A 23,465-nucleotide genomic window follows, 5' to 3' on the forward strand; every position below is an offset into this window, starting at 1 on the left:
TTTTGTTACTGACGTGTCAGCTTTTAATCAGTTATGACCACTGTTGTTCATGTTAATTTCTTGCAATCACTCCTAAGAAAAAAAAATTCTCTCATTCCAAATTACAAACAACCAAATTACAAACATCTGGAACAAAACTCTTCCAAAGGAAACAAACAACTACTTTTATTGTTAAACTTTCAATTCACAGATTAACTTTCAAAGGTTCATATTTCCCACGTTCTTTTTTTTTTTTTGAGACAGGGTCTCGCTCTGTCTCAAGGCTGGAGTGCAGTGGCACGATCTTGGCTCACTTCAACCTCTGCATCCTGGGCTCAAAAAATTCTCCTGCCTCAGCCTCCCAAGTAGCTGGGACTACAGGCATGCACCACCCTGCCTGGCTAATTTTTGTATTTTTTGTAGAGACAGGATGTGTTCCCCAGGCTGGTCTCGACCTCCTGGGATCAAGCGATCCACCTGCCCTGGCCTTCCAAACTGCTGGGATTACAGGTGTGAGCCACCGCACTCGGCCCCTATTTCCCACATTCTTAATGACACCCCATCCACAGTGGTCCAATCAACTTTCAAATTAGCTCTGGGGAAAAAAATACATTTAATGAAAGCTAGAAAACCTAGAGAAGGTCTTGCTCTTCATCTTTCACTGCAGCTATGGACAGCTCGGCACCACATTTGCACCAATCAGCATGTTTGCCCATGTCCTGCCAAGGAGAGAAGTTTACATCATCACTGACAAGGTGTGTTCACCTATTCTCATCACGTAACACTGATGGATTCCATACCTAATTTATCAATCTAAGACATTACTGGACCACGTAACCTTACATATAACTACCTGACCATATTTTCACATGAAGTTGCTGCTGCTTATTATACATCAAAGTTCACGTCAATGTGGCATGAAGTCAAGAGGATTCCAAGCAAACTCCATCAAAACCTTGGGGCTCACAGCATCTCCCAGTGTGTAGATTTTCACATCTAAGTTCTGAAGACATGATCTAAGCGTGGAAGAGCTTCTGAAGTTGACCACTGATCTTCTGAGTGCAAGTCACATCTGGAAATCCTGTAGGCAATGTCATGGGCAAAATTGTGTTCATAAAACTGTGCTTAGGTCTGCTTATGATAGATTATCACGTCACGAAAAAAATGCCACAGAAGTCCAGACTTTTAACCAATCTACTAGCTTCTGCATCAGTATCACAATGCCGAGCTCTGAATTTTAAATGTGCACATATTGTCATATTCATATAGTGACTTAGAGTTTTCAAAGCACTAGGTACATGGTCCTCAAAAATGGTTGGCTTTATATGACCCAAACTAAGGACATTTCACAGGTTTCAATGTTAACGCGTATTGTGAGGGTTTGTGCATAATTATCTTCACACCAGTAAAGGTATTCACTACAATACATAAATTCATTACACAAACCAAGAATAAGCTTCTAACTTATATTGACAGATATGTCACACACGTAATTTGTCCATATTTTACTATTCCATAAATACTTACTATTTCTATCAATAATGCTACTGGAATGGAATAATATTACATAGAAAAACGTAGGAAAACCAGATATAACAAGCTCTAAAGGGCTAAATTTCAGTTATAAAATGGGTCAGAGGCTGAGAAATCACTATTTATCCACAAGAATTGCCTTATAAATCAAAAGATGACTGCAGGTTTCTCTTACATATCCAAATCTAGGAATAAGTTCATTCCATAGCAGATTTGAAAAAACACAAATATAATGTAGGAAGTAATATCATTCATGGCAAACCAACAGCATGAAATTTGGTAGGCTTATTTAGGATGAAAAGGAATAATCTAGATTGTTTTAATACCCTATAAGAGTCCATGTTAAGTCACCCTGACAAAAAATCTTTTTAAAAATATGGTAACCATAAATAAAGTTGCTCAAAGGCACCACACACACGCACACACACGGTTCTCTAATGAAATACCAGTTGAAGTGCAGCATTTTCATTACAGATAGTCAAACAGCTAGAGCTATACAATACACACAGATTTTTCCTAATAGTACCAGCAATCTTAGTTACAAAATAATACTTTTCAGTAGTCTTTCTTGATGCACATTTAAAAACCAGCACAACTCCTCTAGTGAAATGGTCAATTTCCCTTAAAAAACAACATCTGAAATTATAAGACCTGACAAATCATATTATATTTCAATATTAGACTGCTGTGGCTCTAGAACAACAGAAAAGCGTAACTTTCAAACAGCTTAGGGAAAAAGCACTGAAATGTAGATGTCGTCAATCAGCCTCAGGCATTATTGATCCTGTGCCATCCACACACCCTTAAGGTTTTTCACAGCACTCTGACGGTATTATGTGTGTTTTGCAAATGACGAATCAACAGTATGCTGAATAATCAGCAATGAAACACAGGAGATAAATTAAATGTGTTTTTCCAAATGTCAGAATATCGAGGTTCCCAGGAGTTGGCAAAACTTCTCAAGTGGCCATCCAGACTCAGGCTGTGCAGGATAAGGCTTCCTTACGTAGTGAACGGTTGAGAATATTTGCTCCCCACACCCAGAGCCATTCAGGCATATACTGTGCAAAAAGAAACTAAAAATGAAAGAGAAAAAGGTTGTAAGGTTAGAACCCAAAATCAACACTGAAGGAACAAGTACACAGACCAGCACATGAAACCCACCAATCACAACAAATACCCACCAATCAATCACAACAAATACCCACCAATCACAACAAATACCCACCAATCAATCACAACAAATACCCACCAATCACAACAAATACCCACCAATCACAACAAATACCCACCAATCAATCATAACAAATACCCACCAATCACAATACACACCAATCAAACAAATACCCACCAATCACAATACCCACCAATCAAACAAATACCCACCAATCACAACAAATACCCACCAAGCAATCACAACAAATACCCACCAATCAATCACAACAAATACCCACCAATCACAACAAATACCCACCAATCACAACAAATACCCACCAAGCAATCACAACAAATACCCACCAATCAATCACAACAAATACCCACCAATCACAACAAATACCCACCAATCACAACAAATACCCACCAATCACAACAAATACCCACCAATCAATCACAACAAATACCCACCAGTCACAACAAATACCCACCAATCACAACAAATACCCACCAATCAATCACAACAAATACCTACCAATCACAAACACCCACCAATCAATCACAATACCCACCAATCAATCACAACAAATACCCACCAATCACATTACCCACCAATCAATCACAATAAATACCCACCAATCACAATACCCACCAATCAATCACAATAAATACCCACCAATCGATCCCAACAAATACCCACCAATCACAATAAATACCCACCGATCAATCACAACAAATACCCACCAATCAATCACAACAAATACCCACCAGTCACAACAAATACCCACCAATCACATTAAATACAACAAAGGAAAAAGCCTCCAGGTACTACTGTACTGAATACCTACTTTTGCCTAAGATCTTACCCTAGATTCTACATGGAACAGAAACATGACCACCACCCACCTACCCGACTTTCTGTAATGAGGCTGGACTGTCCTGCATGTAAATACAATTCTGTCTTTACTTAACGTGATATGAACAAAATGTTCACTGGTTAAGAACCACAAAATCGGCTGGGCACGCTGGCTCATGCCTGTAATCCCAACACTTTGGGAGGCCGAGGCGGGTGGATCATGAGGTCAGGAGATCGAGACCATCCTGGCTAACAGGGTGAAACCCCATCTCTACTAAAAATACAAAAAATTAGCCAGGCGTGGTGGCGGGAGCCTGTAGTCCCAGCTACTCAGGAGGCAGAGGCAGGAAAATGGTGTGAACCGGGGAGGCGGAGCTTGCAGTGAGCCGAGATCGCGGCACTGCACTCCAGCCTGGGCAACAGAGCAAAACTCTGTCTCAAAAAAAAAAAAAAAAACACCACAAAATCATTATAGGAATAAATCAGTTGGAACAGACAGACGCATACGTGGTTAGTACTCTATGAGAAAACTGGGGCTTGAGGGGTAGTATGGAACAAAGTTCAACAAGAAAACAGGTCAGAAACACCAGTACCTTGGGATGGTATCTTGACCTATGATGGGGGTGCTCAGGGGACCAGGGAAGGGAGTCCTGCTGATGCTGCTCTGCTTCAGGGTCTCACTCAGGGCCTTTGTGCTAGCAGCAGACATAGGGCAATGTCTGAAAACAAATTTGGTCGTCACACTGGGAGTGGATGCTACTGGTATCTAGTGGGTGGAGGCCCAGGATGGTGTTCAACATCCTACAATACACAGGACGCTCCCCATGTCAAGGAATTACCTGCTCTCAATGCCAACAGTGCTGAGGTGGAGAAAGCCTACACTCCTCTAACAGATTTGTTCAGAACCGAATGAAAGTTCTAACACCGTGTATACGAAAGAGAAGAGAGACAGGCCCTTGGCAAGTACTGACATTCTAGTCTTGAACTGAACTGATGAATGATAATAGAGGTCATTCAATCCTCTTGTCAATAAATGGACACAGGTTACTCTCCAGGGAGGACACACCCACACCCACACACACACACACTCACGCACTTTGTGAACAAAATCACAGCAGCAAAAGCTATCAGAGAAATATGCCATGGACAAAACAGCAAAGGATGAATCAAATCTTTGATGTAAAATTGGAAATAAAAAATGATAGTGTTGAAAATAATTTGAGTAACATAAAATGAAAACAGAAAGTTTTAACAACTTTATACAGAAAACTACTCCAGGAATTAAATCAGCTTAACAGAATTTCTTGGCAGAAAAATACATTCTCAAGGAAAGTTTATCAATGTGAACAAAATTTAATTTTGAGTAAACTGTTCGTGTTTTATAAACACAGTCAAAACATCTACTGCACCTAAACCTGATCCTCATATCTTTATTTCTAAAAAAATTTTATGGTCAGTGACTTCTAAGACTACTTTTTAGGTTTCTCTGCTTTTCTCAAGTAATTAAAGGACCTGGAAACAACTACTTAAATAAAACTGTTTCTTCTTTTTTTTTTTTTTTTTTTTTTTTTGAGATAAGAGTCTAGCTCTGTCACCCAGGCTGGAGTACAGTGACGTGATCAGCTCACTGCCACCTCCGCATCCTGGGTTCAAGCGATTCTCATGCCTCAGACTCCCAGGTAGCTGGGACTACAGGCGTGCACCACCATGACCAGTTAATTTTTATATTTTTAGTAGAGATGGGGTTTCACCATGTTGGCAAGGCTGGTCTCGAACTCCTGACCTCAGGTGATCCACCAGCCTCAGCCTCCCAAACTGCTGGGATTAGAGATGTGAGCCACCACCACGCCCGACCAAAACTGCTTCTTATTAATCTCTCACTTTTCATAAAAGTCATAATTAACTGTTGATATACTTACATGTTTATTTGGTAGTGGCAAATCTAATACTCTTCATGCAAACAGTCCCAAAAATATCTGTTTGATAATTAAGAAAACTCCGAATATTAAAAAAAAAAAAAAATTCGGACCAGGTACAGTGACTCACACTGGTATTTTTTTTTTTTTTTTTTGTGAGACGGAGTCTTGCTCTGTCGTCCAGGCTGGAGTGCAGTGGTGTGATCTCGGCTCACTGCAAGCTCTGCCTCCCGGGTTCACGCCATTCTCCTGCCTCAGCCTCCTGAGTAGCTGGGACTACAGGCGCCCACCACCACGCCTAGCTAATTTTTTTGTATTTTTAATAGAGACGGGGTTTCACGGTGTTAGCCAGGATGGTCTCGATCTCCTGACCTCGTGATCCGCCCGCCTTGGCCTCCCAAAGTGCTGGGATTACAGGCTTGAGCCACCACGCCCTGCCAGCTCACGCTTGTAAATCCCAGCACTTTGGGAGGCCAAGGCGGGTGGATCACCTGAGATCAGGAGTTCGAGACCAGCCTGACCAACATGGTGAAACTCCATCTCTACTAAAAACACAAAAATTTGCTGGGCGTGGTGGCAGGCACCTGTAGTCCCAGCTACTCCGGAGGCTGAGGCAGGAGCATCACTTGAACCCGAGAGGTGGAGGTTGCAGTGAGCCAAGATCGCACCATTACACTCCAGCCTGGGCAACAAGAGCGGAATTCCATCTCAAAAAAAAAAAAATTCTAAACTAGGGCACATCTCTTTACTACACCAGATAAAGGAACTGAAATATATTGTAATAGATAATTATGCATTCTCAAATTAATACTTACGATCACAATTTCAAATATCTAAGAAAGTTACTTTCTACAGTACTAAAAGGTACCAATCCTTTGTCATGCCTAAACAATAAGCTTAAAATAAAAATTCTATGCTTCTTGAAAAAATTAGTCTAAGACTATACAGAGATATTATTTGATAAAATGGTTGCATGAAATATAGCCCTATCTTGTGGTTTTGTGGTTTTTTTGGATTATATTTTTCACTGAGAGGTAACCCTCAAGCAGTACTAGAATCTTTTACTTTGAAATTCCCATGTAAATACTTAGTATTTTTATAGTCCTAACATCCACTTACAGCAGCATATTTCTTTTTTTTTTTTTGGAAACAGAGCCTTGCTCTGTCGCCTAGGCTGGAGTGCAGTAGCGTGATCTTGGCTCACTGCAACCTCCGCCTCCAGGGTTCAAGCGATTCTCCTGCCTCAGCCTCCCAAGTAGCTGGGACTACAGGCACACACCACTAAGCCTAGCTAATTTTTGTATTTTTAGTACAGACAGGGTTTCACCATATTGGCCAGGTTGGTCTCGAACTCCTGACCTTAGGTGATCCACCCACCTCAGCTTCCCAAAGTGCTGGGATTACAGATGTGAGCCACCACACCCCAGCCAAAGTAGTATATTTCACTTTAAGGTGCCACATAGATTGAACTTTTGAAAATTCTTAAGGTAATAATTTCACAAAAGAAAATTTAGTGTCTTTGGTCAGGCACGGTGGCTCACGCCTGTAATCTCAGCACTTTGGGAGGCTGAGGCAGGCAGATCATGAGGCCGGAGATCAAGACCATCCTGGCTAACACGGTGAAACCCCGTCTCTACTAAAAATACAAAAATTAGCCAGGCGTGGTGGCAGGTGCCTGTAGTCCCAGCTACTCGGGAAGCTGAGGCAGGAGAATGGCATGAACCCGGGAGGCGGAGCTTGCAGTGAGCTGAGATCGCACCACTGCACTCCAGCCTGGGTGACAGAGCCAGACTCCATCTCAAAAAAAAAAAGAAAGAAAATTTAGTGTCTTAACCAAAATTATTAAGTGTCAGGCTTAAGAGTCAGAATTTACAATTCTCATCTTAGGCTTTAATCAGATTTCTCTGTATCACTGAGATAGGTTCATGATGCATTAATCTAATTATGAGACCTGAAGCACACTCCTACCTGAATAGAATGGGACCAATATCCTGTGGTCCTTTTGGAAATCCCAAGAGTAGAAACAGCATGATGTGCATAGACTTTTGGCGAAGGCACCAACCACGAGCACCTGTGCAGAAAGTTGCTGGGTGCTGTCATGCTGGTGGCTACATAGAAAGGGATTAGACTCTGTACAAAGATTCCTTTAGAGGCATATTCATATTGCAAGGCTCTGCTGAAGTGGTCTAAATAAGCCTGTTGAGACAGAGGGGAGGAAAAGACTTTTAATTCTGGGTGAACTTGAAAATTCAGGAGAAAAAAAGACTTGCTTATTATCAATTCAGGAAAAAATACAGGATAAGCATATGTGAGTTGCTGACAAAGAGTTCAACAAATCAGACCAAACAACTGTTAATAAATGTTCTGTGGCATTAGGATTTCATCTTCCAGTAAGTAACATCTGACCTTAGAAGCAGAAAATGCAGCCAGCTGAGGAGTGGGTTTGCAGCAGGAGCCAGAAGAGATCGTGACGATGGCACCTTTCTTTCTCTCCACCATTCCCGGTAACACAACATGGACCATCAAACTAGCGGCGGCAATGTTCACATTTATGATGTCCCAGAGCTTGTCCTCGGACAGCTGAGTGAAATACTGCGGGTAGGGATAAAACACACCCACGTTATTTACCAAGATGCCAACGTCTTTGTCCTTCAGGGCTTCTCGAATTGGAAGGTAGATCTCACGACCGCTGCTGAAGTCCGCAACTATAATATCAGTTTCCACTTTGTACGTGTCGGCTATGTCTTTAGCAACAACCTGCAACTTCTCCTCGTTCCGACTAATCAGGATTATATTGAGACCTCGGCTTGCTAACTCTTCAGCGTAGGCTTTTCCAATCCCATCTGTTGCACCTAGGATGCAAGTCAGGAAAAGTGAGCATGTGTATTTCACGGTGTGACCCTTAAAATGGACCCAAAGTACCCCCTGTCAGGTTTAGTCAGAGAAAAATTCACACTAGAAATCAAGTCGGTTCTAGTATCTACAAGTCAAGGACACTGTTGCTGAATGAGGAATGTGAAGGGCGCATGCTATACACTCTCCCAGACATCCTGACACACGGACAGGGAGTTATTTTACATTCACCATATTGGTTAGGAGACACAGTAGGAATTTGTTTTCAAACTACTATCTGGCTTGAATGAGTGGCAGGAGGTGCTTTTCTGGGAAATCTTCATAAATTAAAATGAAATTCAAAATAGGTGAAGCATTTCTGAAAGTGGCAACACTTTCAAGACAATTTTAAAACAGAGAACAAAAAGGAAAAGCACATAGTAGGAAGTGGGTCTGGAGGAGGACTGGGAACAGGAGAGAGCAGAATAGGAAGGATACCAATCATGAGGCCAGTTCTTCCTAAGATGAGAGCAGTAAGAAAATGAAATGTGAACATAATCACGGCAGGAGCCATAAGTTTTATTTTTTTATCAGCATGTTCCCATAAAAACACCACATTAAATTCAATAGCTCCTTGAATAATGCATCCGACTTCACAGAAAAGATTATTTTGATTATAAAGTAGGTTACCGCTGACAACGGCCCATCTTCCATACTGCTTGATCAAGTCTGCTCTGCTCCCCAGGCGGGGGATAAAATGCAGCCTGATCAGGCTGTAAAAGTCACAGATGACAGTGATGCTTTTTCTGGCCGTATACCAGGCTCCAACCAAAGCTAGAGCTTCCATATAGCAATTGCAAGACCTGGCGATTTCCCTGTACAAGAGGTAGAAACTGTCAACAGCAGCCATGGCAACCTGCAGGGAGAGGGAAAGAGAGAGAGCCTCTTTGATTAATAAATTAAAGGAACATACACAGTCTGAGTGAAGACATCCAGCTGAGGGCATCAGATCTTGTCAATTGTACGTTCAAATAACACTAACTTTTCAAATGTACGTGGCTCACAGTTTCAGTCTATCTATCTATCTATCTATCTATCTATCTATCTATCTATCTATCTATCAGACAGAGTCTCACCCTGTCGCCCAGGCTGGAGTGCAGTGGTGCGATTTTGGCTCACTGCAACCTCCACCTCCCGGGTTCAAGCGATTCTCCTGCCTCAGCCTCCCAAGTAGCTGGGACTACAGGCACATGCCACCACGCCCGGCTAATTTTTTTTTTTTTTTTTGAGACGGAGTCTCGCTGTCGCCCAGGCTGGAGTGCAGTGGCGCAATCTCGGCTCACTGCAGGCTCCGCCCCCTGGGGTTCACGCCATTCTCCTGCCTCAGCCTCCGGAGTAGCTGGGACTACAGGCGCCCGCCACCTCGCCCGGCTAATTTTTTGTATTTTTAGTAGAGACAGGGTTTCACCGCGTTAGCCAGGATGGTCTCAAACTCCTGACCTCAGGTGATCCGCCACCCTTGGCCTCCCAAAGTGCTGGGATTACAGGTGTGAGCCACCATGCCTGGAGATTCAGCCAATTTATGATCTCACCATTTAACATCCGTAGCTTATAAAGTTACTTTCTTCCAAGGAGACTAATCAACATAACTACCAGAAGTTACCAAATTCCCACTAAAATTCAGGTACTACACTACATGCTGTGGCTACAGAGATAAACACAATATGCTCTGTGCCTGTAACATGCTCCTAGTCTAATAATAACAAACACAAAGCTTCTAATTCATACAGCAGAGGTACATGTATTTCTTTGCTTTATTCATAATCAGCAAGAATGGAGGACCTACTACCTGTGTAGGGACAAAGGAGATGAAACAGAGGTGGCACTAAGACATGGCCTTGGCCTCAAAAGCTTACAATCCACTGGAGACAAAACTCAGCTTTCAAAAACCTTTACATCAATTAAAAAAAAAATTTTTTTTAAAGAGATACCCTCCAAGCTTGGAAAAATGGCTTCTCAAATGACAATAGAGGGAGCACTCCTCCATCTTCTAACTTAATTTGTAACCATTATGTTGCCTGGTCTCTTACATTTGAGGAAAGAAAAGTCCAACACAACTCTGTTGAGTGTCCACATAGCAAGTATATACTAAGCACCTACTATGTTCTATGTACTGTGATTCAAAGGATTCACAGATGAACTAAATGACCGTCCCTAGGTGAAGACGCAGACATTTAACAAAATAATGTAAAATGCCACATGATGTGGTAGGTGTGTGCCTGCAATCAGAGATAACCCTGCAGAAGTAGACAAAGGCCAGGCATGGGGGGTCTGGCCACAGACCGAGTGAGTGGACTTCATATCAGGCTAAACCAACCGTGTGCATCCTGCGAAAGACAAAATATCAAAACAACTGCAATAGACTACACTTATATTACAGGGAACTCAGATACACACAAACCCAAGGACACAGCTTATATTCTAAAAAGAACATGATTTTAAGCCAAAAGAAAAAGAAATATAAAACTTCTGGGGGTGGCAACTTTTGAAGAAATCCCTTTAAAATAGAAAAAAAAAAAAAAGTCTGGATACTAAGAAAATACCCAACAATAGCAGCACAAATTAGCCTAAGTTTGAGAAAGAATGGGGAATTCCCTCCTACTCCACTGCAGTGTAATCTGAGCTCAACAAAGTTTTGCAAAGTAAAAAAGGAACCAAGCAGAAGAAAACAAATGAACCACTGAAACGGAACACATACAAGAATGGCACCATATTGTGATAAAAGGCATATAAAATAATTTTAAAACTATTGAATAAATATATATAAATGTGTAGTGTGAATTACAAATCAACAAAACGTACACAAGAAATATGACTGAAAACTGAAGAAATGGAGAAGCAGTAGGATTCCTAAATGCCCTACGATAAGGAAACAATCTCTCTAAAAAAGAAAGTTTCATACTGGTACCGTATTAAGTTGATATTGCTGCTATATTAAGTTACCAAATTAAGCCAATGTGGCATTAAGTTTAAAAAATGTTTTCCTCAGCCGGGCGCGGTGGCTCATGCCTATAATCCCAGCACTTTGGGAGGCCAAGGCAGGTGGTCAGGAGTTCAAGACCAGTCTGGCCAAGATGGTGAAACCTCGTCTCTATTAAAAATACAAAAATTAGCTGGGCATGGTGGTGGGCACATGTAATCCCAGCTACTTGGGAGGCTGAGGCACAGAACTGCTTGAACCCGGGAGGAGGAAGTTACAGTGAGCCGAGATCATGCCACTGCGCTCCAGCCTGGGCGACAGAGTGAGACTCCATCTCGAAACAAACAAACAAAAAAGTTTTCCTCAAATGAAAAGTTGGGCCCCTTTATTCCCTACAGGTAAAATGCTGTCCACTGGGGCTCTGTGCACAGAAACTCACCTCCCACAATGAGAATGCCAAAGTTCATCATGAAAAGGAAACATTTTAAATTTGACTAAGTACATAAACCAAATACTTAAGCTAAAAACAACTAAAATAAATGCTCCTTTGGGGTAATTTTTCTTTATGAACCAGATTGGCTGAGATGACCTAAAATATGAGCTGTCTAGTTCAACAAAGTCTTTCTTTTTTCTGAGCAATCTTCCGTACAGCAGTCACCAATACCCCTTACTGCTCCCAAATCCTTTGATTGACAATCCTTTGAAATATATTCAAAGTTAGGGCCCCCCCTTCAGTGTAGCGAACGAGCATACCTGTTTCCAGATCTGCATGAGAGGAAGCCGCGCCACCACCCCTCCCACAACCCTCCTGCTGCTGGATATGCTGATGACGGGCACGGTATCAGAGTTTTCACACTGGCTGTAGCCCTTGAACAGTCATAAGTACTGGACTCCCAAAGACAGGCCCAAAACATTAATATCCTATAAGAACATTAAAAACTGACATTCCAGCCAGGGACGGTGGCTCACACCTGTAATCCCAGCACTTTGGGAGGCCGAGGTGGGCAGATCACTTGAGGTCAGGAGTTCAAGACCAGCCTGGCCAACATGGTGAAACCTGATCTCTACTAAAAACACAAAAATTAGCCGGGTATGGTGGTGACTGCCCAGCTTGGGTGGCTGAGGAAGGAGAATCACTTGAATCAAGCAGGCGGAAGTAACAGTGAGCCAAGATTGCACCACTGCACTCCAGCCTGGGCGACAGAGTTAGACTCCATCTCAAGAAAAACCCCAAAAAACAAACAAAAAAAACAACCGAGATTCTATGTTAGACCATCCTAAATTGTGAGTTCCGGAAATAACTCATAAAAAGTGTGGGTGCCTTTTGTCATAACTAATCAAACACAAGGCCATGAGGAAAGTAAATGCAAAAACAATTACCTGTATGTAATTACCTGTATGTACCAGGACCTCTCAAGCAAAATGTAATAAAATTGGGAATAACAAGCTATGACTAAAGAAACCTAGACACTTGGAATATTAAGCTTATTCTTCTAATAACAGGTAGGCATACATCTAGGCTGTTAAAACAGTGTTTTCAATGAAAAAATAGATACTACAGGCCAGCCACGGTGGCTCGCGCCTGTAGTCCCAGCACTTTGGGAGGCCGAGACGGGCGGATCACGAGGTCAGGAGATCAAAACCATCCTGGCCAACAGGGTGAAACCCTGTCTCTACTAAAAATACAAAAAATTAGCAGGGCGTGGTGGCGGGCACCTGTAGTCCCAGCTACTCAGGAGGCTGAGGCAGGAGAATGGCATGAACCGGGGAGGCAGAGCTTGCAGTGAGCCAAGATCGCGCCACTGCACTCCAGCCTGGACGACAGAGGGAGACTCCGTCTCAAAAAAGAAAAAAGAAAAAAAAAAAAAGAAAGAAAAAACAGATACTACATATCAAGATCAATGGGTTGTAGCCAAAGCAGTATTTGTGGGGAAATGAGTTGCTCCAAGCCTATAGAGTAAGGCTCTCGCTACAAAAAGGAGGTCAGGCATGCCTCATGGAGGAACCCACACAGATGGAAGCTTCCTCCTTAAGCCCGATTTTTTTCAAGAATCTGAACCTTTTTGAAGTAAATGTCTAGCAAAAGGCGCCTGACCACAAAGGGGGCCCCAGTTTTTCTGCTGTGGTCGTTCCCTGCCCTGGGGTCTCTTACCTTCTCTCTGCCAGTTCTGGGCCGTCAGCAGTATGTGGCTCCGTCCTTCTCTTAAGGCCAATCTGTGAATAAAACCAACAAGAAACAAATGCCTTTCCTCTTCCTCATAGTTCAGCTGGGAAAACTTTACATTAAAGTAACATCCAAGTGCTCAAAAATTAAGAAAACACAACAATTCTTACGCCATGAATCTCTGTAGAGGCAGCAAACCATGTACTAGGCACCAAGTACCCTCCTCTCAGAATAAGAAAAGCGCCTGGCGTCTGCTGGGGGCACAGTCCATGCGTCCTCAGGCACAGCTGGAGGGTGCCCCCTTTTCCTATGCCTTTTTTCCTAGGGAACATTTCATCAAATGGGACAAAAGCCCATTCCAATCCCAGGAGCCCTTGGGGAAACACCGCCCAGGCACCAGGCCGGCATCGGGGAAGAGAGCAGCCACAGCTGTCCTCGGTGCCTTTTTCTGCCTGGTGCCTGTCTGGGTTTCACCTGGGCCTCCCACTGCCTCACTCTGCACACCCCTTCTTCAGCTCCACCTGCAGCGTTCCCTGGAACATCCACATTGCCACGGGCTGCCCTGGCTTCTCTTTCCAAATTCCTGGCAGGGATTCTGGCTCGCCCACCTTAGTTCAGGTGCCCACCACCTGTCTAATCTCCTGGCAGGGTGGCAGGGAGGAAGGCGTCCTACAGTGTTTGGGGGCAGCCCCCCTAGGCTGTGAGTGGGTCAGATGCTTTAAGGAGGAAATGAAAGGAAACCCCTGGTCCACATTTTCCCTCTCCTCCACCACACACACTGCATTGCAACTGTTCTGTCTCTGACCACCCCAGCAGGCTATAGTCCTCCAGGGCAGAGGCCAGATTCTACTCCTCTCTGTTTCTCCAGCACCTTCCACAATTCCTGGCACAAAGAAGCTCAACACTACCAAGTCTCTGGCTGCAGCTCACAGGCAGTCTTCCTGTCCAGCGCTCAGCCCTCAGCTCAGGAGCGGACCACCCACAAATTCCTTTGATCCTTTACAGAAAGAAAAGCTTGTGTGCTAAACCCACCAGGGACCTCCCACTCAGGCCAGCAGAGGAGATGCACCCACTGCAGAGGTGAGTACAGGAACCTGGGGCTGAGGGGCTTCAAGCCCATCATGGCCCAGCTTCTCAACGCCCCCACTAGACACCCCTCACCTCTTGTCAGGGGAGCGCCATCGTGTGCAAGTACCTTAAACGTGTGTTAATATTATTGTTGCTATGTATATTTTAAAAATCACAGAGCATCAGGGGGGCTGATGGCATTCAAGGTCTGGTCCTCAGCCTTGATGGATAGAAACCCAAGTTCTTCATTCCTTAGAGGCAGCTCAAGACAAAGAAATCTGACTCACATCCACAAAACCCACAGAAGACTGATACATTCAAATGCCAAGTTAGGAATGGATAGTGAACAACACAGCGAAGAGGCCTAAACACACACGGTCACTGGTCCTACAGTCTCTCGAGATCTACATGGAAAACCAAACTTCTAGAACAGCAATGAAAAATACAAAGTGTCAGAGACTGAGGACACCATCATGAATAAACCAGGACTCCGTGCCACCCGGTATACACAGAAGTCAGAGAAAGATAAACGGAGCAACTGCAACATGAGGTGGCAAGGGCGCCACTGGGGTGAAATGGGTCTTGAAGTGTGAGCAGAATTTCTGGGCAGAGAGGAGGGAAGGGACCTCCCTGGCCCGGGCCCATGGAGAAAGGCTCGGCACCGTCAAGGGTCTGGCCTACTCGGGAAACATTAGGAAGTCCCCCGCATGCACAGCACAGGCTGTGCTGTCCTGTGTGACGCCCCATGTGTGCAGGCGCACAGGCGTGAAGGAGACTGGGAGAGGCAGACTGGAGATGCCTTCACGCCAGACTGGAGTGCATGGACCTCCTCCTTGAGCACCAAGGGAGGGAGCTGGTGGGGCTTGTTTAGGAAGGTAACGCAGCAGGGGAGGAGGGGGGCTCCTGAGCCCTGGTTACTCAGCTGGGGATGAAGGAGGGCCACACGGAGAGCCAAGGCTCTGTGGCCTCTGCTGCTCCTCAGCCTTGCCAGACACTTCACACATTCACTCACACCCTGATGGGCCAAAGATGTTAGAGAACTGGAAATTAAAACTCATTCCCTGCTCTCAATCTTCTTCCCCACCCTTCTGTACATGATGGAAAATAACATTTTTCTCATGACAAAAGAAATCAGTACTTTCCCCAGAGCCACCAAATTTCAAAAGCTCATAGCCTCTCACTGAAACTTTCAAAGGAATTTATCACACATTTAAGCCTAGAAGTCCACTTAGGCATATGTAGATAACAAGCCTCGTCAAAGTTACTTTAGGTATCTGACTAGTTACTGTTTTGTGGCTTGATTAGCGAAAGCTATTAACCTGTGCTACGGTCTGAGCGTTCCGCCCCACTCCCTGATTCTTGTCTTGAATCTTAACCCCCCAGGTGATGGTTTAGAAGGGAGGGCCTTTGGGAGGCGATCAGATAATGAGGGCTCCACCACCTTGATCTTGGACCATTCAGCCTCCCAAACTGCGAAAAGTAAGTGTTTGCTGTTTCCAAGCCACCCAGTTCATGGTATTTTGTTATAGCAGCTCAAAACCAACTAAGGCAGCCTGCAACCTAGAGAAACCCATGATGTGGAAAGCAATACTAAAACACAGTAAAATTCTGATTCATGTACAATCTACCTGCAAGAACTTATTCTAAAGCTTTATTTTCTTAAACAGAGAGTAGAATGGTGGTTGCTAGAGGTGGGGTCATGGGTGGGAAGTTTTGGTCAAAGGGGTATAAACTTTCAAATATAAAATGCATACGTCTGGAGAGCTAATGTACAGTACAGTGACCATAGTGAGCAATACCAAATTGTAGGCTTAAAATCTGCTTAGAGGGTAGATCTCAAGTGTTCTCACCATAAAGAAATAAAAAAGTAACTGAGGTGATGAATGTGTTAACTAATTTGGTTGTGGTGATCATTTCACAAAGTATACATATATCAAATCATGTTGTACACCTTAAATTTATATAATTTTATTTGTCAATTATACTTCGATGAAGTTGGAAAAATATAAAATAATTTAAAAAAATTTTTAAGCTTTGTTTTCTCATCTCTGCAGAAAACTAAAACATCTGTGAACAAAACAAAACCACAACTGTCCCCAAACTAGGAAAAGAAGAGCAAGTCCCTATTATCTTTTAAGCATTTTCTACTTCTACAGGGCAGGAGTCATCAAAAACCTACAGGAAACGTTACAACTACAAAAGCGTCACGGGACAATTATGGTCAAAACTGCAAGTAGCAAAGTCACCTCTTCAAAGCACCACTGCTGTGGCCTGTAACATGATCCCACTCCACAGTGAAGGGGACTCCACCTAGCAGTGTAAAGGGCAATCAACTCAAATAGAAAAACCTTCATGTACCAAGAGTTCTGGGAGGAAAGTCTTGGCTGAAACATGGACATTACCAAGCTATCCAAATGCGTGTGACGTGGGGCGGGTGGTGAAAGAACACAAGGCAGACTGGCCAGGGTTTTAAAGAAGACAAAGCAAGCAGGATGGAAAAAAAGACAATCAAAGCATTAGCGAACGACAGTGTGGTGGGCACAGTAATGGCCTCCAGGGATATCTACAGCCTAATCCCCAGACCCTGTAAATACGTCACCTTATGTGGCCAAAGGGACTCCGTAGATGTGACTGAGTTAAAGACTCCGAGCTGGGGAGGGTGGGTCCAATGTCATCATGTGTCCTTGTAAGGGGGGCAGGAAGATCAAAGAGAGAGAGCCATGTGACTACAAAGGGAGAGGTCAGAGAGAGCTCGAGTTGAGGGTGCTCTGTGCTGCTGGTTTCGATAATAGAGAGAGGGGTGGGTCACCAGTGAAGGACGGGGGGTGGCCTCTAGAAGCTGGCAGAGGCAAGGAAAAGGATTCTCCCCTGGAGCCTCCAGAGGAACACAGCCCTGCTGACACCTTGACTTTAGCGCAGTCACAATGACTTCAGATTCCCATCTCCAGAAGGAAGAGACATCTGTGTCATTTTAAGCCACTACCTTTGTGGCAATTTGTTACATCAGCCACAGGGGATAAGGATAAACAGTGGGAGGAAGGGATGGATGAACAGTCAGTTCAGCTTTCAGGACAGCGAAGAGACAAGCTGAAAACTCTGCAACCTCCCTTAAGCCAAAACCACTATGTGTATTCAGGAGCCAGAAAGTCTCAGAGGTTCCTGCCATCTTTGACTGACCAGGGTAGACCTGAGGTCCTCCTCCTCACCAGCTGGGATTATCCAGCTTTTCAGTAAGGCTCCAGGGCGATGGCTGTTTTCATTGATGAAAACATTTTTCCAAATAAATCTTAATTTTTTCAGAGTGTGAATCTGTCTTGTGCTCAGTACTCCAAATCCTCTGTTCTTCCTGACGTTTCAAGTCCCATGTCTTCTCCTCCGTTCAATCACTTCCTAACAAGCACCAACAACATGTCAGCCCTGGGGAGAAACTTCCCTTCCTGTCCCTTCCCTTCCCAGGCCGTGGCACTGCCCCCACCTCTGAATTCCTCTCCACCTCTCTTACCCATGTGGCACTTAGCACACACTGCTTTGGATTCTATTTAAACACTCAACTTGCTTATATCTTGGTTTCTTGGTTGTCCAAGGAGAGCACAGGCCTCTGGAGGGCAGGAGATGTATAGAAAACGAATTTTTCTGTAACTAAAAGAAATTTTTGTTTTTAGGCCGAGTCTTGTTCTGTCTTCCAGGCTGGAGTGCAATGGTGCAATTTCTGCTCACTGCAACCTCCGCCTCCTGGGTTCAAGCGTTTCTCCTGCCTCAGCCTCCCGAGTAGCTGGGACTACAGGTGCCCTCCACCATGCCCAGCTAATTTTTGTATTTTTAGTAGAGATGGGGTTTCATCATGGTGGTCAGGCTGGTCTTGAACTCCTGACCTCAAGTGATCCACCCACCTCGGCCTCCCAAAGTGCTGGGATTACAGGCGTGAGCCACTGCACCTGGCAAAAATGTTTAAATATATACAAAAGTATGTAAAACCTATTATGCACAGTTCAAAGAATAATAAAACAGCCACTTAGCCACCAGCCTACTTAACAAAACCAGTGTCGTGGAAGTCCTGTATGCTGTTCCTCTGATTACAGCCCCTCCTCTATCCTGGAGGCAGCCTCTCTCCTAAATTCTGGGGTAGTCACTCCCTGACTCTTTTAACAAAACAGCTGTATACCCCAAGCATGTATTCTGAAACAGTAACAGTATTGCTGGCCGGGCGCGGTGGCTCACGCCTGTAATCCCAGCACTTTGGGAGGCCGAGGCGGGCGGATCACGAGGTCAGGAGATCGAGACCACGGTGAAACCCCGTCTCTACTAAAAATACAAAAAATTAGCCGGGCGCAGTGGTGGGCGCCTGTAGTCCCAGCTACTCGGGAGGCTGAGGCAGGAGAATGGCGTGAACCCGGAAGGCGGAGCTTGCAGTGAGCGGAGATCGCGCCACAGCACTCCCGCCTGGGCGACAGAACGAGACTCCGTCTCAAACAAAAAAAAAAACAGTATTGCTAAGTTTCGCCTGGTTTTGAACCTCACATAAAGGAACCACACCACATGGACCCTTTGGTGACTTGTTTCTTTCACTCAACATCATTCCCGAGACTCATCCATGCCCCTGCAGCTATATAGTCCATCCTCCTCGGCAGCTGCACAGTATCTCACGGTTCAGATGCACTGCAGTTCACAGGTCCCCCTGCTGCTGGTTCAGATACACCACGATTCACAGGTCCCCCTGCTGCTGGTTCAGATACACCACGATTCACAGGTCCCCCTGCTGCTGGTTCAGATACACCACGATTCACAGGTCCCCCTGCTGCTGGTGCTAGGCACGTGCACTGTTTCTGCTGGTTTTGATTTACAGTTAGGAACAGTGCTGCAGGGAGCGCTTGTCCCCATCTCCTGCACACCTGTGCAAGAGTTCGCAAAGGGATTTGCCCATGGTTTAACTGCTGGTCCACATGCATTCCACTGCCAAATGCTTTTGCAAAGCGGCAGAACCCATTCACACTCCCGCCAGCAGCAGGTTCGTGCCACTCCTCAATGTCACTGGCTGGTAGCGTCCAAAGCTTCACCTTCTGCCAACAGGGTGGCTGTGAAATGGTATCTCATTATGGTTTTAATTTACATTTCCCTGGTTACTAGTAAGGCTGCAGTCCTTTTTATATGTATGTGCTTTCTGTGTTTTGTAATCTATGAAATGCCCGTTCCTATCTTTTGTCCTTTCCTTTTTTTTCTCTCAGAATTGTAAGAATTCTTTAAATATTCTAGATACTAGCTCTCTGTATGTTTTGTGTCTCATTATAGTGTCTTTCATGAACTAAATGTGTTGTTATTATTATTGAGACAAGGTCTGGCTCTATTGCCCAGCCTGATGTGCAGTGGCATGATCACAGCTCACTGCAACCTCCGCCTTCCGGGCTCAAGCCATCCTCCCACCTCAGCATCTCAAGTAGCTGGGACACAGGCATGTACCACCAAGCCCAGTTAAATTTTTTTTGTGTGTGTAGAGATGAGGTTTCACCATGTTGCCCAGGCTGGTCTCAAACTCGTAAGCTCAAACCATTCACCTGCCTTGGCCTCCCAAAGTGCTGGGATTACAGGTGGGAGCCACTGCACCTGGCTGAATGTCTTAATTTTGAAAGAGACAAATATATCAATCTTTCTGCTTTAGGGTTTGTTTTATTTCAGAAATCCCTCCTTAGCCTCAGGTCATGAAGAAATTTTTTCGAATTATTTTCTAGAAATTTTACATTTTTGCTTTTTCAGTTTAAGTCTTTAATCCTCCTGGCGTTTTGTGATGGTGTGAGGCTGGGATCTCACACATCTTTTTTTTTTTTTTTTTTTTTTTGAGACAGAGTCTCACTCTGTCACCCAGGCTGGAGTGCAATGGCGCGATCTTAGCTCACTGCAACCTCCTCCTTCCAAGTTCAAGCAATTCTTCTGCCTCAGCCTCCCAAGTAACTGGGACTACAGGCGTGTGCCACCATGCCTGGCTAATTTTTGTATTTTTTTCTTTTTTAGTAGAGACGGGGGTTTCACCATATTGGCCAGGCTGGTCTTGAACTCCTGACCTTGTGATCCGCCCACTTTGGCCTCCCAAAGCACTGGGATGTGACCGGCCGGATCTCACACATCTTTAATATTCCTCCTCAGCACCTGACATGCTGCTGTAGACAACTTTATTTAATAAACAGAATCAAATACTGCTTTGTGTTCAAAGCTCAAATTTCACTCTTGAGAAAAAAACTTAAGCTTTTCATACTCTGCGTCAGCACTATGACAAAGTTAGCATTGGTGTATCAAGACTTTTTGGGATGTCTTTACCTTCACTGCCAATTTTTGGTATAGGACTAAACGCACAATGAAGCTGAGCCTAAAGAGCAGCAACATGGAATTAGAAACCTGGATTCTCATCCAAGATCCAACACTCTTCACCATCATGTCTGTATTTATGCAGTAAGAATTAAAATATTCAGAGTACCCCACTCCTAGGCAGATACCCAAGATAATTAGAAACTTTTGCTCACATAAAAACTCCTGCTTGCATGTTCACAGTGGCCTACTCACAACTGCCAGAAGGCAGAAACAAACAAAATGTCCATCAACAAATGAATGAATAAGCAAAATGTGGTGTTATCCACACAAAGGAGTATTATTCAGCCATAAAAAAGCATGAAGTACTGATACATACTACAACATGGATAAACTTTGAAAACATTATGCTAAAGGACAGAAACCAAATACAAAAGGCCGTATGTTGTATGTTTCCACTTGTATGAAATGTCCAGCATAAGCAAATCCATAGAGACAGAAGATAACTTAGGGCTGCTGAGGGACAGGGGGAGAAAAGAGGTATGACTGTTAATGGGGTTGGGGTTTCTTTTGTAGGTGATTAAATGTTCTGGAATTAGTTACTGGTGATGGTTGCATAGCATTGTGACTATAGCAAGAACTACTGAGTTATACACTGTAAAATGGCTAAAATGATAAATTTTATGTCATGCGTAAGTCATTTCGATTTTTGAAAACCTACTTTAAAAAAAAGTAGCACCAATATGTTCAACTCTGTTGCCCTAGAATATTCCAGCAGTGATTAAAACCACAAACTTGGCCGGGTACAGTGGCTCATGTCTGTAACCCCAGAACTTTGGGAGGCCAAGGCGGGCAGATCACTTGAGGCCAGGAGTTCAAGGCTACCCTGACCAACACAGCGAAACCCCGTCTCTACTAAAAAAAAAAAAAAAAAAATTAGCTGGGTGTGGTAGAACGTGCCTGTAATCCCAGCTACTCGGAAGGCTGAGGCAGGAGAATCACTTGGGCCCGGGGTGCGGGATGGCGGGCAGAGGTAGCAGGAGCTGAGATCGCAGGCACCATTGCACTACAGCCCGGGCGACAGAGCGAGATTGTCTGAATCAATCAATCAATCAACACCCTCCCCCTCCCCCTCCCTCTCCCTCTCCCTCCCTCCCTCTCTCTCTCTCTCTCTCTCCTGTGGCGGTCAGAGTAAAATTGAGAGCTCACTTTATGCAAAAGACTCTGCTAAGTGCTTTATTCCTATTGTCTCACTTTATTCTCTCATTAATCTTATAAAGCGCAGTCAGACTCTCCCGTTTATAGATGGGGAAATTGAGTCTTATAGATGTAAAGTCGCACACCCAAGACCCCACAACTCAGAAAGGGGCTACCTGCAATTCAGATGGAGGTATAGCAAGGCGCAGAGTCCTGTCCAGGGAGCCCACTGTGAGACCCCCCGACTGCCTCGCAGTCACCTGTACACATCATGTTGGGATCGCCGAGGGGCGCTGCAGCGATCCGGTTTCTGGGGCTGCGTCTGGGTGGCACGTTCAGAACGGGGACCTGCCTGGTTCTTCTTCCCAGCCCTTCCCCTCCAGCACCCGGCAAGGCCCAGTCAACACGAGCAAACTCGGAAATCCTGGCTGAACCCACGACCGCTGCATATTTCCATTTTAGAAAAACACGGCAACAACAACTCAAACCAAATCGTTCAGAAATGAGAATAAAGAAGCACCGACAAAGGAGGCGATTGCTGGGGCCGCTCGGGGGAGGAGCCGGGTGAGAGGCTGCAGGGAGGGCAGGGCATGCGCCGGCGACAACGGGGTTCGCGGTTTGGGGGGCAAGGCCCGGGGGAAGAGAGAGAACAGGGGTGCAGCGCCGCGGCGGGGGGCGTGAGGATGGAGCCGGGGGAAGGGGGGCTCTGAGATGTGAAGGGGCGGGGCTGGGGCTTTTTGGTCTGAAGGAAGGAGTCTCACGGGACGGAGGGACGAAGATTTCCTGGGGTCAGGGGCGCCAAGGGGCTTCGGGGCCGGATGCAGCGGAGGGGGCCCGGGGCCTGGGGGGCGTGGTGAGAGCTCAGAGGGGTCTCGCCAAGCAGCCGGCTGGCGCTGAGGGGACCGAGGAGGGGTCTGGGGCGAAAGGACCGCGAGAGGGCGCCCAGGGCGCGGGGGGCGCGGTACCTGCAGGCCGGCAAAGTCTTCCAAACCGGTCCCGCCAGACCCGCGCGGCCGCCGCCCCCGTCTCGGCCGCCGGAGCTGCTGCCGCGCCGCGCCCTCACGTGACCCGCGTACGCGCCGGGGGCGGAGCCGTCTCAGACCCGCCCCCACCCCCCGGCGTCCCCAGCGCGCCGGTCCGTCCCGAGTGCGCGTGCGCAGCGGTTGCCTGGGCGACCGGGGAAGCGTTGGGCTGTAAAGACTAGGGCGCCAGCGGCTGGCGAAGAAGGAAAGAGGGTACTCTCTGGCTGGGCTGGGGCCGTAGCGACGTCCGCCGCGAACCTGGGCCCCCCAAAGCTGCGGGGCGTTCGGTGTCGCCGAAGTAAACATGCACCCTGAGCCCTCGGAGCCTGCGACAGGTGGTGCAGCAGAGCTGGATTGCGCGCAGGAGCCCGGCGTGGAGGAGTCTGCGGGTGACCACGGGAGCGCAGGCCGAGGGGGCTGCAAGGAAGGTGCCGACTGCCCCCCAGGGAGGGCGGTGGGCGAGGGGCAG

The 23,465-nt window shown here is 45.6% G+C and overlaps 2 protein-coding genes across 13 annotated transcripts in view, besides 5 other annotated features; one reads left to right on the forward strand and one right to left on the reverse strand.

Annotated features, from left to right (window-relative positions):
* On the reverse strand, window positions 1–23,037 carry HSDL1 (hydroxysteroid dehydrogenase like 1). Of its 3 annotated transcripts, NM_001146051.2 has the most exons (7): window positions 22,940–23,037; window positions 13,404–13,465; window positions 8,962–9,187; window positions 8,197–8,291; window positions 7,846–8,031; window positions 7,408–7,635; window positions 1–2,588 (listed from the first exon to the last, which is right to left on the reverse strand). In NM_001146051.2, the coding sequence occupies exons 3-7, from the start codon at window positions 9,179–9,181 to the stop codon at window positions 2,490–2,492; spliced, it is 828 nt and encodes a 275-aa protein (NP_001139523.1). In that variant the 5' UTR covers window positions 9,182–9,187; window positions 13,404–13,465; window positions 22,940–23,037; the 3' UTR covers window positions 1–2,489. The 3 variants fall into 3 exon arrangements, with proteins under 3 accessions (NP_001139523.1, NP_113651.4, XP_005256246.1); NM_031463.5 differs by having other exon boundaries at window positions 7,846–8,291; XM_005256189.4 differs by lacking the exon at window positions 22,940–23,037 and adding an exon at window positions 17,083–18,117 and having other exon boundaries at window positions 7,846–8,291.
* Window positions 13,406–14,003: an enhancer, noted in NCBI's record as "H3K27ac-H3K4me1 hESC enhancer chr16:84169151-84169748 (GRCh37/hg19 assembly coordinates)". NCBI's record gives its function as "activates a minimal SCP1, AML or CMV promoter by ChIP-STARR-seq in naive H9 embryonic stem cells {active_cell/tissue: H9 hESC(naive)}" and the evidence as "EXISTENCE:reporter gene assay evidence [ECO:0000049][PMID:30033119]".
* Window positions 15,198–15,793: an enhancer, noted in NCBI's record as "H3K27ac-H3K4me1 hESC enhancer chr16:84170943-84171538 (GRCh37/hg19 assembly coordinates)". NCBI's record gives its function as "activates a minimal SCP1, AML or CMV promoter by ChIP-STARR-seq in primed H9 embryonic stem cells {active_cell/tissue: H9 hESC(primed)}" and the evidence as "EXISTENCE:reporter gene assay evidence [ECO:0000049][PMID:30033119]".
* Window positions 22,462–22,511: a silencer, noted in NCBI's record as "silent region_7778". NCBI's record gives its function as "represses an Ori minimal core promoter by ATAC-STARR-seq in GM12878 lymphoblastoid cells {active_cell/tissue: GM12878}" and the evidence as "EXISTENCE:reporter gene assay evidence [ECO:0000049][PMID:35858748]".
* Window positions 22,562–22,611: a silencer, noted in NCBI's record as "silent region_7779". NCBI's record gives its function as "represses an Ori minimal core promoter by ATAC-STARR-seq in GM12878 lymphoblastoid cells {active_cell/tissue: GM12878}" and the evidence as "EXISTENCE:reporter gene assay evidence [ECO:0000049][PMID:35858748]".
* Window positions 22,772–23,221: a silencer, noted in NCBI's record as "silent region_7780". NCBI's record gives its function as "represses an Ori minimal core promoter by ATAC-STARR-seq in GM12878 lymphoblastoid cells {active_cell/tissue: GM12878}" and the evidence as "EXISTENCE:reporter gene assay evidence [ECO:0000049][PMID:35858748]".
* DNAAF1 (dynein axonemal assembly factor 1) overlaps window positions 23,168–23,465 on the forward strand; it is a 32,613-nt gene continuing 32,315 nt past the window's right edge. For all 10 annotated transcript variants that reach the window (XM_011522854.4, XM_011522853.4, XM_011522855.4 and 7 more), the window contains exon 1: window positions 23,168–23,424. In XM_011522854.4, the coding sequence (XP_011521156.1) occupies window positions 23,301–23,424 (124 nt within the window). In that variant the 5' untranslated portion in view covers window positions 23,168–23,300. The remainder of the gene's footprint in view (window positions 23,425–23,465) is intronic.

The sequence above is a fragment of the Homo sapiens genome, chromosome 16 (assembly GCF_000001405.40).
Source record: "Homo sapiens chromosome 16, GRCh38.p14 Primary Assembly".
NCBI lineage: Eukaryota > Metazoa > Chordata > Mammalia > Primates > Hominidae > Homo > Homo sapiens.